The 12,267-nt window shown below is 39.4% G+C and overlaps 1 protein-coding gene and 1 long non-coding RNA gene across 12 annotated transcripts in view; both read left to right on the plus strand.

Moving 5' to 3' along the window:
* The window catches only part of LOC101929710 (uncharacterized), a 669,085-nt gene extending 664,096 nt beyond the window's left edge, over positions 1-4,989 (plus strand). The window contains exon 5 of the long non-coding RNA NR_130776.1: positions 4,871-4,989. This is a non-coding gene — a long non-coding RNA (uncharacterized LOC101929710). The remainder of the gene's footprint in view (positions 1-4,870) is intronic.
* The window catches only part of CAST (calpastatin), an 813,255-nt gene that overhangs the window by 664,668 nt on the left and 136,320 nt on the right, over positions 1-12,267 (plus strand). The gene's annotated exons all lie outside the window — the stretch shown is intronic.

Below are 12,267 nucleotides of genomic sequence, written 5' to 3' on the forward strand. Positions count from 1 at the left end.
TCTAATCTCATCCTGGCATCTGCTTCTCCAATAAGGACTGATGCACTGAGGAAGAGAACCTACATGAGAACCTGAGCTCACACTAGTGCAAGGGGCCTGTAGCCTTTGGAGGACAGATCAGAGATCAGGCTGTCCTTTTTCCTGTGCTACCACCAATGGCCAAGGCACCATCATTGTCCACCATGATGACCTGATTCCCCTGCTGCCTCTCTTACTCCCGAGGGTGATTAAAACAAAGCATTAAATTAGGTAAGGTCCTCTCTCATCTACAGCTTCCCATCACTCTTGAAACATCATATGAATGCACCATAACTGACACAGGCCTCTTGGTCTGGATGCTGCTCCACCCTCCATCCTCATTCCTCCTGCCCTCCCTCTTCCTCACTTGGGCCTGCTTTGCCTTCAAATGCATGGATGCGCTCCCTCCTGGCAGTGTCAGTGTCCTGTTTCCTGATTCCTCTGATGAAGCCCCACCTCCTCCCATCTTCTCAGGACTGCTTATTGTCAGGGTCAGAGCCCAGATCCAACATCCCTGCCAGGGAGAGTCTCCCTAACCACTTTCCACAAAGCCCCTTGCTTCCAGCCATTCTTACCATGTTACCATTTAATTTTCTTCATGACAGTTTTTCTCCAATGCTATCTAGATTGCTGTTCTCCGCTAAAATTAAACAAAGCAGAAACTATGTTATCAGGAGCCCTGTCCTTCCATCGCCGAGGCCTGGGACAGTACCCACGCACAGCAAGAGCTCCATCAACATTTGTTAAATAAATGAGGTCTGGCAGAGTTTGACGGCAGGTTTATGATATAAGCTCTATCCTTTATCTTTGCTACACAATTTTCAGTAAATTCTGCATTGCTTTCTAATATTTTTACCATGAATATTTTGTTTGGGAGAATACAAATAAGTATACAGACATCATTCTAAAGTCAGCTCACAGGGAAACAAAGAATATGTGGGAACAGCTACATGTCAAGGTTAAAAATGCATGAGAAACTGGGAAACAATTGAAATAGCATTCCAGGAGGCAGTATTGCAGAATGAGGAAGATAGGAGTCCAATGGCTCCATTCAACTTTGAGGTCTACCACAACATAGTTGTGATTTTCAACTAGTTACTTCGTACCTCTTAGCACACATTTCTTAACAGGCAAGATGAGAACAATATATGCTTTGCCTACTCTAGAGGGTGATTATGAAAGTTTTTGAGAAAGTGTCTACAACTCTGCAGAAGGCGAAAATTTTGGACAGCAGAGTTTTCCAAAGAGTCAATTTTGGGCTATTTAAAAGACCTTTTATGTAAAATGACCCCCTTGACCATGATCATGACCTTTTATTTTCATAAATAATGGTGATGTTACATATAACTTTTTCTCTCTCAAATACCATTATCTGGCAAAATACAAAGTCAGACATTTTTTGATAATTTTACTAGTCTGTGAAACCTAAAAATTTGGGATCCACCTTGTGAAAAATCTTAGAAAGCTATAAAAATGTAAAAAACTGTGTTGTTCCAATTTTCTTAAGAGGAGAATACTTCCTTAACAAACTCCTGTTTACGGAAAGAAAGGTTTGCTCAGTGCACAGAAATATAAATGTCTTTACACTCTCCTGGACTTGTGTGATTTATGAGGAGGAAGATGAGAGAAGGAGAGGAACCTAGATAGGTAATTGGTTCTTCACGTCCCTTGGAAACTACTGGAAGGCATTAGAAAATTTTCAAGTCCTATCCCTTAGAAGCCCAGAGTTTCATAGTCACAAAGTAAACCCTCCAGGTGAAACCTGCCTTTATTTGCCATGCTTTCATTTTCATTTCGCTAGTCATGTGCCTTACCCTACAAAGTGAAGGCAGAATATTTGTTGCTCCGTTGATTGACATCTGTGATTCTGTTGTAGAAACAGAATGTTTGTTGAATGTGGAAATAAATGCCACCCTCTCTTATACAAACATTTAGAAAGGAAATACAGTAAATCCTTTTAAATATTGTTTGTTAAGCATCCTTTTAAAGTGCTGTTTCAGTGAAGAAAAACTTTACTTAATCATCTGCTTATCATTCACCACACAAAGGCCTCTTTTGTAATGGCATGCATGGAAAAGTTTGATAACTTATTAAAAATGCCCTATGGAGGAAAAAAGGTTAATAAATATATAACTTTAGCAGGTCAGACACTGCCCTATGGCCAAAATGTTTGGTATTCAAAAGAAAATGCCAGCATCTTGCTACTCAGACTTCTGAGCAAGAATGGCAATAATGAGTTCAACTCTTCTATAAACACACAGCATTCACATTGTGTAGATGAACTCAGCAAAGTTTACATTTATACATGACAATAACCCTAAAGTCCTTGAAACGTGCCCTAATAACACATGCAACATTAAAAATAGGAGAAAATTTAGAAAGTATCTAACCAACCTCCTTGTTTTAAGAATCTGGGGGGCTGGGTGACATAGTTAAAAGTATCTGGGCTTAGAGCCAGCCAGACAGATCTGCCCCAAGCTTGTCTCTGCCATTTGCTAGCTATAAGGTCCTTAAGCGACATTCACCACTTACCACCACCCACCCCTACCTCCTCATCAGTGAAGGGAGGATAATAATAGTCAGAGATCATCTAAGTCACAGATATGTGGCTTTTGCAAAGTTACCAAATTAGTTTAACCTTCAGAACCCAAATTAGGAAGCAAGTATGGATGTTGTTTCCCTGCACGATTAGCACATAATCAACGAGCAAATATCTTGTGCATATGGCTACTGAATAGAGGACATGAGGGGCGGGGGGTCATAAAGGCCCAGCCATTTTGCAGGATGTGTGGCAATTCTGATGCACATACTTGCTGTGGTTTGAATGTATCCCCCAAAAGTTCATGTGATGGAAACAGCTCCCCTCTGGGTGGGCCAAGGCTTTGCCAAGCCTCCATTTTCGTTCAGTTTCTCCCACAGCTGAATCCTGCTTCCATTCACAAGTATTAATTCCTTATAAATGCCTTAAACCCGATACAACAGTGTTTGGAGGTGGAGCCTAATAAAAGATAATTGGGTCACAAGGGCAGAGCTTGCATGAATGGATCAATGTTGTTATCCTGGGAGTGGGTTGATATAAAGCGAGTCCAGCCTCTGGTACCTCTCTCTATGGTGAGTGTTCGCTTCTACCTTCCACCTTTTAGCCATGAGATGGCTCACCAGATGCTAGTGCCTTGCTCTTGGGCTTCCCATTCTCCAGAACCATGAGCTGAATAAACTTCTGTTCTATATAAATTCCCCAGCTGGTGTTCTTCTGTTATAGCCACAGAAAATAGGCTAAGACAGTATTCTTTCCAGCGCTCCCCTCTGGGTGGGCCAAGACTTTGCCAAGCCTCCATTTTGGTTCAGTTTCTCCCACAGCTGAGTCCTTCTTCCATTCGCAGGTATTAATTCCTTATAAATATCTTGTACCACAAACTCTGTCTCAGCATCTTCTTGCTAAAAAGTATGGGTTGGCACTTTGCCTCAGTTTCTTTCAGACAGTGAACATAGTGCTAAACAGGAGGGTCTTAGGCCAACCAACTTGAAATCAAACTGTAACTTATATCTCAATCTTTCCTTCCAATCTCATTCTTTAACCCTCCCTATCAGCATCTGATTCAAGCAACATGGGTTTGTTCACCTCCCACCTTTAAAACCCACTGCTCTGCTGTCTGGGAGAAATGTTTTCTTCATCACTCTCTGCCTAAACTTGATTAATCAGGCTAAGCAATGTACCACAGCACTTATTTAGTGTTGATTTTGGCAGAGATGAATTTCTTCTTCTATGAAGTACTATGAATTTGCAAACACAGATTTAAACCACAGCCAAGCCCTAAACCAGCTAAGCCTGCAGTACGGTGGACTAGACTCAACAGGATTACAGAACAAGGCAATTCCAGGCCACTTCTGGGCCTGCCTGTAACCTGAGAAGGCTTGAGATATCTGTCACAGCTTCCTGTCTTCTCAATTAGTCATTCATTCAAATAATATTTATGGAGCACTGTCCTAAGAACTGGGGATGTATCATTGAATAAAACAATCATGTTCTCTGTCTTCCGAGCTTACAGTCTATGGTTAGAGACAAAAATCCAGCAAAGAAGCAATTAACCATAATTAGCCATGCAGGATACTAACAGAATGCAGTGACGGAAAAATGAAGGTGATAAGTGGGAATCTATTAATACTTAGCTATCAGGGAAGTCTTCTCTAGAAAAAGACTAAGTTGGGCCTGAAAAATAAGAAAACACAAGCCATGGGAGAGTCAGGAAAGAGCATTCGAGGCAGAGAGGCTACATCAAATCATTCTTTGTTTACTGAACAAGTAAGTTACTTCTGAGCTAAGCATTAAAATACAGGAGGGAAGAAAACTAACTTCTAAACAAGTGAATAAAGTATCATACTCCCTTGAGGCCAGGTGCGGTGGCTCATACCTGTAATCCCAGCACTTTGGGAGGCTGAGGAGGGTGGATCACCTGAGGTCAGGAGTTCGAGACCAGCCAGACCAATATGGTGAAACCTCGTCTCTACTAAAAATACAAAATTAGCCAGTTGTTGTGGTGCATGCCTGTAATCCCAGCTACTTGGGAGGCTGAGGTGGGAGGATTGCTTGAACCTGGGAGGCGGAGGTTGCAGTGAGCCAAGATTGTGCCACTGCACTCCAGCCTGGGGGACAGAGCAAGACTCCATCTCAAAATAAAATAAAATAATGAAGTATCATACTCGAAAGAAAGAGAGAGAGAAAGAAGGAAAGAAAGAAAGGAAGGAAGGAAGGAAGAAGAAAAGGAAAGGAAAAGAAAGAAAGGTTGTTTTGTTTTGGTCTACAATTGATTCTTGTATACTAAAAAAAATTTTTTTAAATAATCTCTTACAGAGTCTCCACCTGACTGCATTGCTTCATGGCACTGTGCTTTTGGACATTTGATATCCTTCAGCTAGAATATATTTCTTCATTGTCCATTCACAGGAGCCTTCCTTTCTTAAAGACTCAATGTAAGCATCTCCTCCTTTTTAAGTAGCATTTTTTAAATTGACATATACTTCACAGGACATAAAATCCACCATCTTAAAGCAAGTTCACTCTGTTGTACAACCATCACCACTATCTAACTCCAGAACATTTTCATCACCCCAAAAAGGACACTAGGACCTGTCAGCAATTAGTCCCAATTCACCTCTATTCCCATGCCCTGGCAACCACTAATCTACTTTCTATCTCTATAAATTTGGCTATTTTGGACATTTAATACAAATGTAATCATAAAATATGTGTCCTTTTTTGTCTGACTCCTTTCATTTAGTGTAATATTTTCAAGTTTTATTCATGTAGCATGTATCAGTACTTTACTCCTTTTTATGATTAAATAACATCCCATTGTATGGATTTCATTTTATTTATTCATTAGCTGATGGGCATTTAGGTTACTTTCACTTTTGGCTATTGTGAATAATGCTGCTGTGAACGTTTGTGTAAAAGTTTTTCTGTGAATACTTTTTTTTTTTTTTGAGACGGAGTCTTGCTCTGTCTCCCAGGCTGGAGTGCAGTGGTGAGATCTTGGCTCCCCGAGTAGCTGGGACCACAGGCGCCCGCCACCACGCCCGGATAATTTTTTGTATTTTTAGTAGAGATGGGGTTTCACCGTGTTAGCCAGGATGGTCTCGATATCCCGACCTCGTGATCCACCCGCCTCGGCCTCCCAAAGTGCTGGGATTACAGGCGTGAGCCACTGCGCCCGACTGCTTGTTTTCATTCTCTCAGGTATATATTTAGGAGTGGAATTGCCGGGTCATATGGTAATTCTATGTTTAACTTTTTGAGGAACAGCCAAGCTGTTTTTCACAGGGGCTGTACCATTTTACAGTCCTACCTGCAATGTATGAATATTCCAATTTGTCCACATCCTCGCCAACACTTGTTATTGTCCTTTTAAAAATTATTATTATTATTATTATTATAGCTATCCTAGTGGGTATGAAGTGATGTAGCATCATAATGACTAATTATGTTGATCACCTTTCATGTGCTTGTCAGTCATTTGTATAGTATATATTCTTTGGAGAAATGTCCATTTAAGTACTTTGCTGATTTTAATTGGGTTGTCTTTCTGTTTTTGAGTTGGAAGAGTTGTTGATGTATTCTGGATACTATAGATACTATACTCTTATGAGATGTATAATTTGCAAATACTTTTTCCCATTCTATGAGTTGTCTTCTCACTTTCTTGACAGTGTCCTTTGACACACAAAATTTTTTAATTTTGATGAAGCCCAATTTTTATATATAAAAATTTATATATAAAAATTGTGCTTTGTCAATTTTATATATAAATATACTAAGATAAATAAATATAAAGAAATATATTTTATACACACACATATTTTTAATTGCTTGTGTGTTTGGTGTCTTATCTAAAAAACCATTTGCTAATCCCAGGTCTTAAAGATTTCCATTTATATTTCTTCGAAGAGTTTTATAGCTTTTGCTCTTATGAGTCTTTGATCTTTTGAGTTTTATATACAGGGTGAGAACAGAGTGCTAATTTATTTTTTTGCATGTGGATATTCAGTGGTCTCAGCGCTATTTGTCGAAAAGACTATTTCTTCCTTCTCATTAAATTCTTTCAGCACCCTTGTCAAAATCAATTGACCATAAACATGTGGTTTATGTGTGGACTCGCAGTTCTATTCCATTGGTCTATATTTCTATCTGTATGACAGTAGCACGCTGTATTGATAGTAAGTTTTAAATTGGGAAGTGTGAGTTCTCCAACTTTGCTCTTATTTTTCAAAATTGTTTTTCCTATTTTGTGTCCCTTGCCGTTGGAAATTTGATAGGGATTGCATTTATTCCATATGTCATTTTTTTAAAGTTTTTGGTTTGTTTTGTTCTGTTTTTGAGACAGAATTTTGCTCTAGTTGCCTAGGCTGGAGTGCAGTGGCGCAATCTCAGCTCACTGAAACTTCTGCCACCTGGGTTCAAGTGATTCTCCTGCCTCAGCCTCCTGAGTAGCTGGGATTACAGGTGCCCGCCACCATGCCCGGCTAATTTTTTGTATTTTTAATAGAGATGGGGTTTCATCATGTTGGTCAAGCTGGTCTGGAACTCCTGACCGACCTCAGGTGATCCACCTGCCTCAGCCTCCCAAAGTGCAGGGATTACAGGCATGAGCCACTGCTCCTGGCCATTCTATAGATCAATTTAAATAGTATTGCCGTATTAACAATAGCATCTCTTCCAATCCATGAACACAATATGTTTTTCCATGTATTTAGGTCTTCTTTAATTTCTTTCAGTAATGTTTTGTAGTTTTCAGTGTATAAGCCTTGCAGTTCTTTTGTTAAATATTTTTTCTAAGGTTATTTTTTAATTCTTTTGATGCCATTTAAATTGAATGTTTTCTTAATAGGACTTTCAGATTAGTATCTTCTCTCAGGTAAAACCCCCTGACCTTTAGTTCCCCTAAGTGAGAATTGACAACTCCATTCAATGTCATGTCTCCACCTGGCAGATACCTGTATTATAACATATTACAATATTCCAAAGGCCAATTTATTAAGGCCCTATTTATTTATGCCAATTTCCCTTGCTTGTGGGCAAAGACCATCATGTTCTGTTCCCTTTCTTCACCCAGGACAAAGTGTGAACAGAAATAGCAAAGCCTAGGAATGAAGCTAGCTAGAGGGAAAAGATGGGTTTGATGTTTTCTTGATAATTCTAGCGAAAGGTTCAGCTTCACCCAGAAACACACTCTACATCAGTCGTTCTGAGAGATGGTGTTTCAGGCCTTCCCCTGTTAAAATCTATCCTCTCCTTTTACTCACAGCCAGTGTATATCTCTTCCCTAATTTTCCAGCCAATTAGAACAACTCATGACTCATCCTGACTTCCCAAAACTGTTTTGCAAATGGAGAGAAGTGATTTTTTTATTTCCTCAATATGTCTCTGGGTTCAGTCTAGCCTAGTATAAATTCTTTGAGAAAAACCGAGTTTTATACTGTGTCTATTGTGGTTGTGCTGACTGACGACATAACGTACTTACTAATCTTCTGTAAGTATACAAAACAGTGCTTTGATTTCAGAAGAATGTGCAGATTTCTTTTGTGGAGTGTGTATATTTCATTTTGCTTTCAGTATGTTTTTCAGTTGGCTTAACCTTTATCATAGAGATCAACAAGAGTGAAAGGGCTTCAACTGCTTGTTCTTCTACTCATTGATTGTGCACATCATCTGATCTTCATGACATTCAGAGTTCTACAATGCAAGATTGTTGTGAAGATTCTATGAAATTATGTATATAAAGCTCCTGGCAAATACATATTCACATATGTTAGTTTTTCTTCTCTTCCTTCTTTTTCATTATACAACATTCTTTCTACACTTAAACTTCAGATGAACTGATTCCAGCAGAATGGACTCTTATCTTGACATAGGGGACCAGAGAATTGGAGCTTCAGAGGACAGGAGCAGCCTCATTTCCTGAATCTTTCCTGGATGCCTACATGAAAATGTCAAGGGCATCTCCATTCCAAATCCTTTCAGTAAAAATCATCAGATAGTGTTGCCTCTGCAATGAGATAATGTTGTGCCCAACACAGTTTGCAGTTTGACTAATTCCTAATATATTCTGCAAGGATATAATAATCCCTACCTAACCCCTGTGCATTTTTAGTATTTTTAATTTTTAAGCTCATGAAAACTCAAGACTGAAAATAAGTTCTCAAAACTATTTGTGACTAAAAACAACAACAACAACAAAATCTTTGCATTCTGACTGTGCGATTTGGGAGATTCAGAAGAGCACTGGGTAAGATTTCTTAAAGAACTCACAATCTGGTTGGAAAGATGGATATTGTATAATGCCAAAGAATCACAAACAACGTAATTCAGCAATAGACTGTGATACAGACTTACAGTATCAGAGAAATTCTCAGAAGAGTATGACTAGAGGCTCTATGATTAGAGTGAGACCTTGAACACTGGGTAGAACATGACACAGTAGGTGGGTGGATTTCCTAAGAGAAAGAGCATCCCAGGCAAGGGAGAGCAATGTGAGCAGAGACATTGCACCTAGAAATGGGTCTTGATGTTCTAAAGGATGAGGAGATTTGAAACTTCTTTACCTGAGAAAGGCATTTTTGCTGTGGCATAACAAGGAGATAATAGGAAATGGGATCAAATTACATAGACTTTGCTATTCTCTTTGTTTCCAGATTCAAACTCTCTCTTTTTAAGGGGAGAGGATAAGAAAGCCTAGAAAGAACAAGTGTTGTTATGCACACATTGAAGGAAAGTCTAGATACTCCTCTCCTAATTGATTGGGAATTCGGGATGTTTCATATAATCAAGAGGTTGGATGGGATCTTGAATGGCTGACTCCATCTCTCTGGGTTGAGGCAGGATAAGAGATAAGCCATCCAATACTGGTTTAAAGCTGTATTTTAAAGTTTCTAGCTATATAGATGTAATCTCTCTGGTAACTTTTCAATTCCACAGCAACATTCGCATCAGAAAATCTTGCTACTAGTGTACTGAAGTATCTCTCATTGTGACCTATCTAAGCCCTGTGCATTTGTTCTGTCCTAGTGAAAATCACAAACAGTCAATGTTCATAGCCAATTTCACTAGCTCCTCCAAAACTGAGCTATTGCCATTCAGTTGCCTTTTTGAACTATTAAATGACTCTCATCTGTGCTTAGTTAGACAATTGCTTCCACTTCAGGTTATTTTAAAGATTCTTCATTGTGGCTCACAATAGATAAATTTAGATGGCTTCTTTCTATTTTTCCCTATCATCAATTCTTCTTCCCTACTACTTCCTAGAACCCTGGCTTCTCTCAATAACTAGTGTTTAATCTTGGAAATGTCAATTTCCATTTCATCTAGGAATACAGCCATGTGGAAGAAGCAAGCGTTGAGAGCTAAACAATCTTAGAATTCCAACTTGATTCCTCTGTGACTCTACTTCCTCATCTGCAAAAATTAATAATAGTGATAGTACCAACCTCATAAGTTTGCTGTGTGGGAATTATAAAAAGTACTCCCCACTGAGTTTGCTCCATAGTAAGCACTCTATAGAAGCTAATGTTCACTTTTTAAGGCCTCATGTCATCAAATGCTAGCTGTGGCTTGACCTTTTAGCCTGTTTCCTCATCTGATAATGAGTATAATAAGATGTGTCTAATACATTGTTAAGCTCCTGACACATAGCAGCACTCGAGGGATGGACTCATTACTAGTGGGAAAAATTTGGTATTCACAATGGCCTGTCCACCCTTACTTTATACTAAAGGAAATGATTCCAATTTTAGGGTCAAAAATCTATTTAAATACAGGCATTTCCCATCTATGTCCAAAGCCTTCTCTGATTCCTTAAGATGTCCCATAAATTTTCTTTAGCTGTCATCAGTGGCGCTGATGGCTTAGTATTATGGACTACCATTTTATTTGGCAAAAAAAAATGATAAAATTCTTCAGATACCCTTAGATTTGTGCTGCTGATCCCCTAATATTAAAATACTTTGTTAGATTTGGGAATAATAAAAAGAAAACAAAAAAGTAAAATAAAAATGTTGAAATTTTAAATGAATGAAAGGTTGAGTAGCATTTGGAATCGCTTTCAAATGTACATTCAGAAGGAAAACTGGTCAGTGGTGGCTGTGGCTGGTGGGGGAAAGGGCTCAGATGTGGCTTCTGGGATTCCCTTACGACATTTGCAGAAGTGTGGGAAGGATGACAAGTTCTGCTGCACTCTGGAGCTGCTGAACCTGAGTAGCCACATCTAACATCACATCACTCGTGGGGAGCAGAAGGATAAGGGTTGGGGGTCAAGATGCGGTGTTGGGGGAGGTGGAGGTGCAGCTTCAGCAGATCCTGGCAGGGGGGTCAGAGCTGGAATAGATCACAGTCCCCCCTCTGGGGTTCCCTCTCTGCCTCTCCATGTGTTCAAGACCATTACTGTGACTATGAAAGAGTTGCAGGCTCAGCATGAGGAGCAGCATCAGGACAGAATATAGTGCTCTGAGGCTTGGCCAATTACGTCTTAGGTCAGCTCAATATTAGTTGTTCTGTTGCTAATGTAATTTTATTACTATATTTACTATGTGTCAGGTGCAAGTCTAAACACTTTACATTTATTTTCTCAGCTAATTTTTGTAGCAACCATATAAGGGGTAGTTCCATTTCACAAATGAGAAACTAAAGCACAGGGAGGCCAGGTAGCTTGCTCAAGCTAGTATGTTCACAAGGCAACTCAGAGGTTTAGCCCCAGAGCACCATATGTAACCATGGATTTATACTACCTTTCTGGAATGTGGCTTTCCAACATTCCAGTGTTCCATTTTCAGTAATTCTAGTCTGTGAGTGGGTAAATGAATTCAGCTTCTTAGGGCACATTTTGCAAATAACTTCCTATGGTGAACTGTTGTATGGCAAGTAATCAAAGAAATTCAAGCACCCGAAAGTGACATTAAACAGATGAAGACTGGCTGGCTTAATGATCCTTTAGAAATTAGATTGCTATCATGTTACCAACTCTTAAGAGTTAGGGTAAAGATACCTTCCCAGAAAAATAACATAAAACTAAAATCCATAAAAGCTAAATAGCTTATTTTCTCTTCTAAATACAGATTTTTCTTTTTTATTAATCACTAGTTGCATTTTTGGGCAAAACAATGTCTTACCAAATAAGTAAATTTTACTATTTAAGAAATATATGATAATTTAAGAAACATACAATATTTTGTCTATCTAAATAAATTCAAAGATTTAAAGATTGGCCTTAGATACTGTGTTCATAGTGCAAGAAGAAGTGTGACTGGGCTTTGGAAAGAGATGGCTGGATCCCTGGACCACCACTATCTTTTGGAAACCCTGAGTGCAAATTTTGGAAAAACTTCTCCCCTGACTAGACTAACTGAGAAAAGTCAATTTCTCTGACTAAGTGAAGTTTTGAGCATGGCATGCAGCTTGGCAAGGAAGAGGTTGGGCCCTTCATCTGGGTGTTTTTATGCACTAAGCAAAATGCCCTTTTGGGCCTGGTGTGGTGGCTCATGCCTGTAATCCCAGCACTTTGGGAGGCCGAGGCTGGCAGATCACTTGAGGTCAGGAGTTCAAGGTCAGCCTGGCCAACATTGTGAAACCCTGCCTCTATTAAAAAAAAAAAAATTAGCCAGCCGTGGTGGTACACGCCTGTAATCCCAGCTACTAGGGAGGCTGAGGCAGGAGAATCTCATGAACCCAGGAGGTGGAGGTTGCAGTGAGCCAAGATCATG

The sequence above is a fragment of the Homo sapiens genome, chromosome 5 (assembly GCF_000001405.40).
Source record: "Homo sapiens chromosome 5, GRCh38.p14 Primary Assembly".
In the NCBI taxonomy this organism is placed as follows: Eukaryota; Metazoa; Chordata; class Mammalia; order Primates; family Hominidae; genus Homo; species Homo sapiens.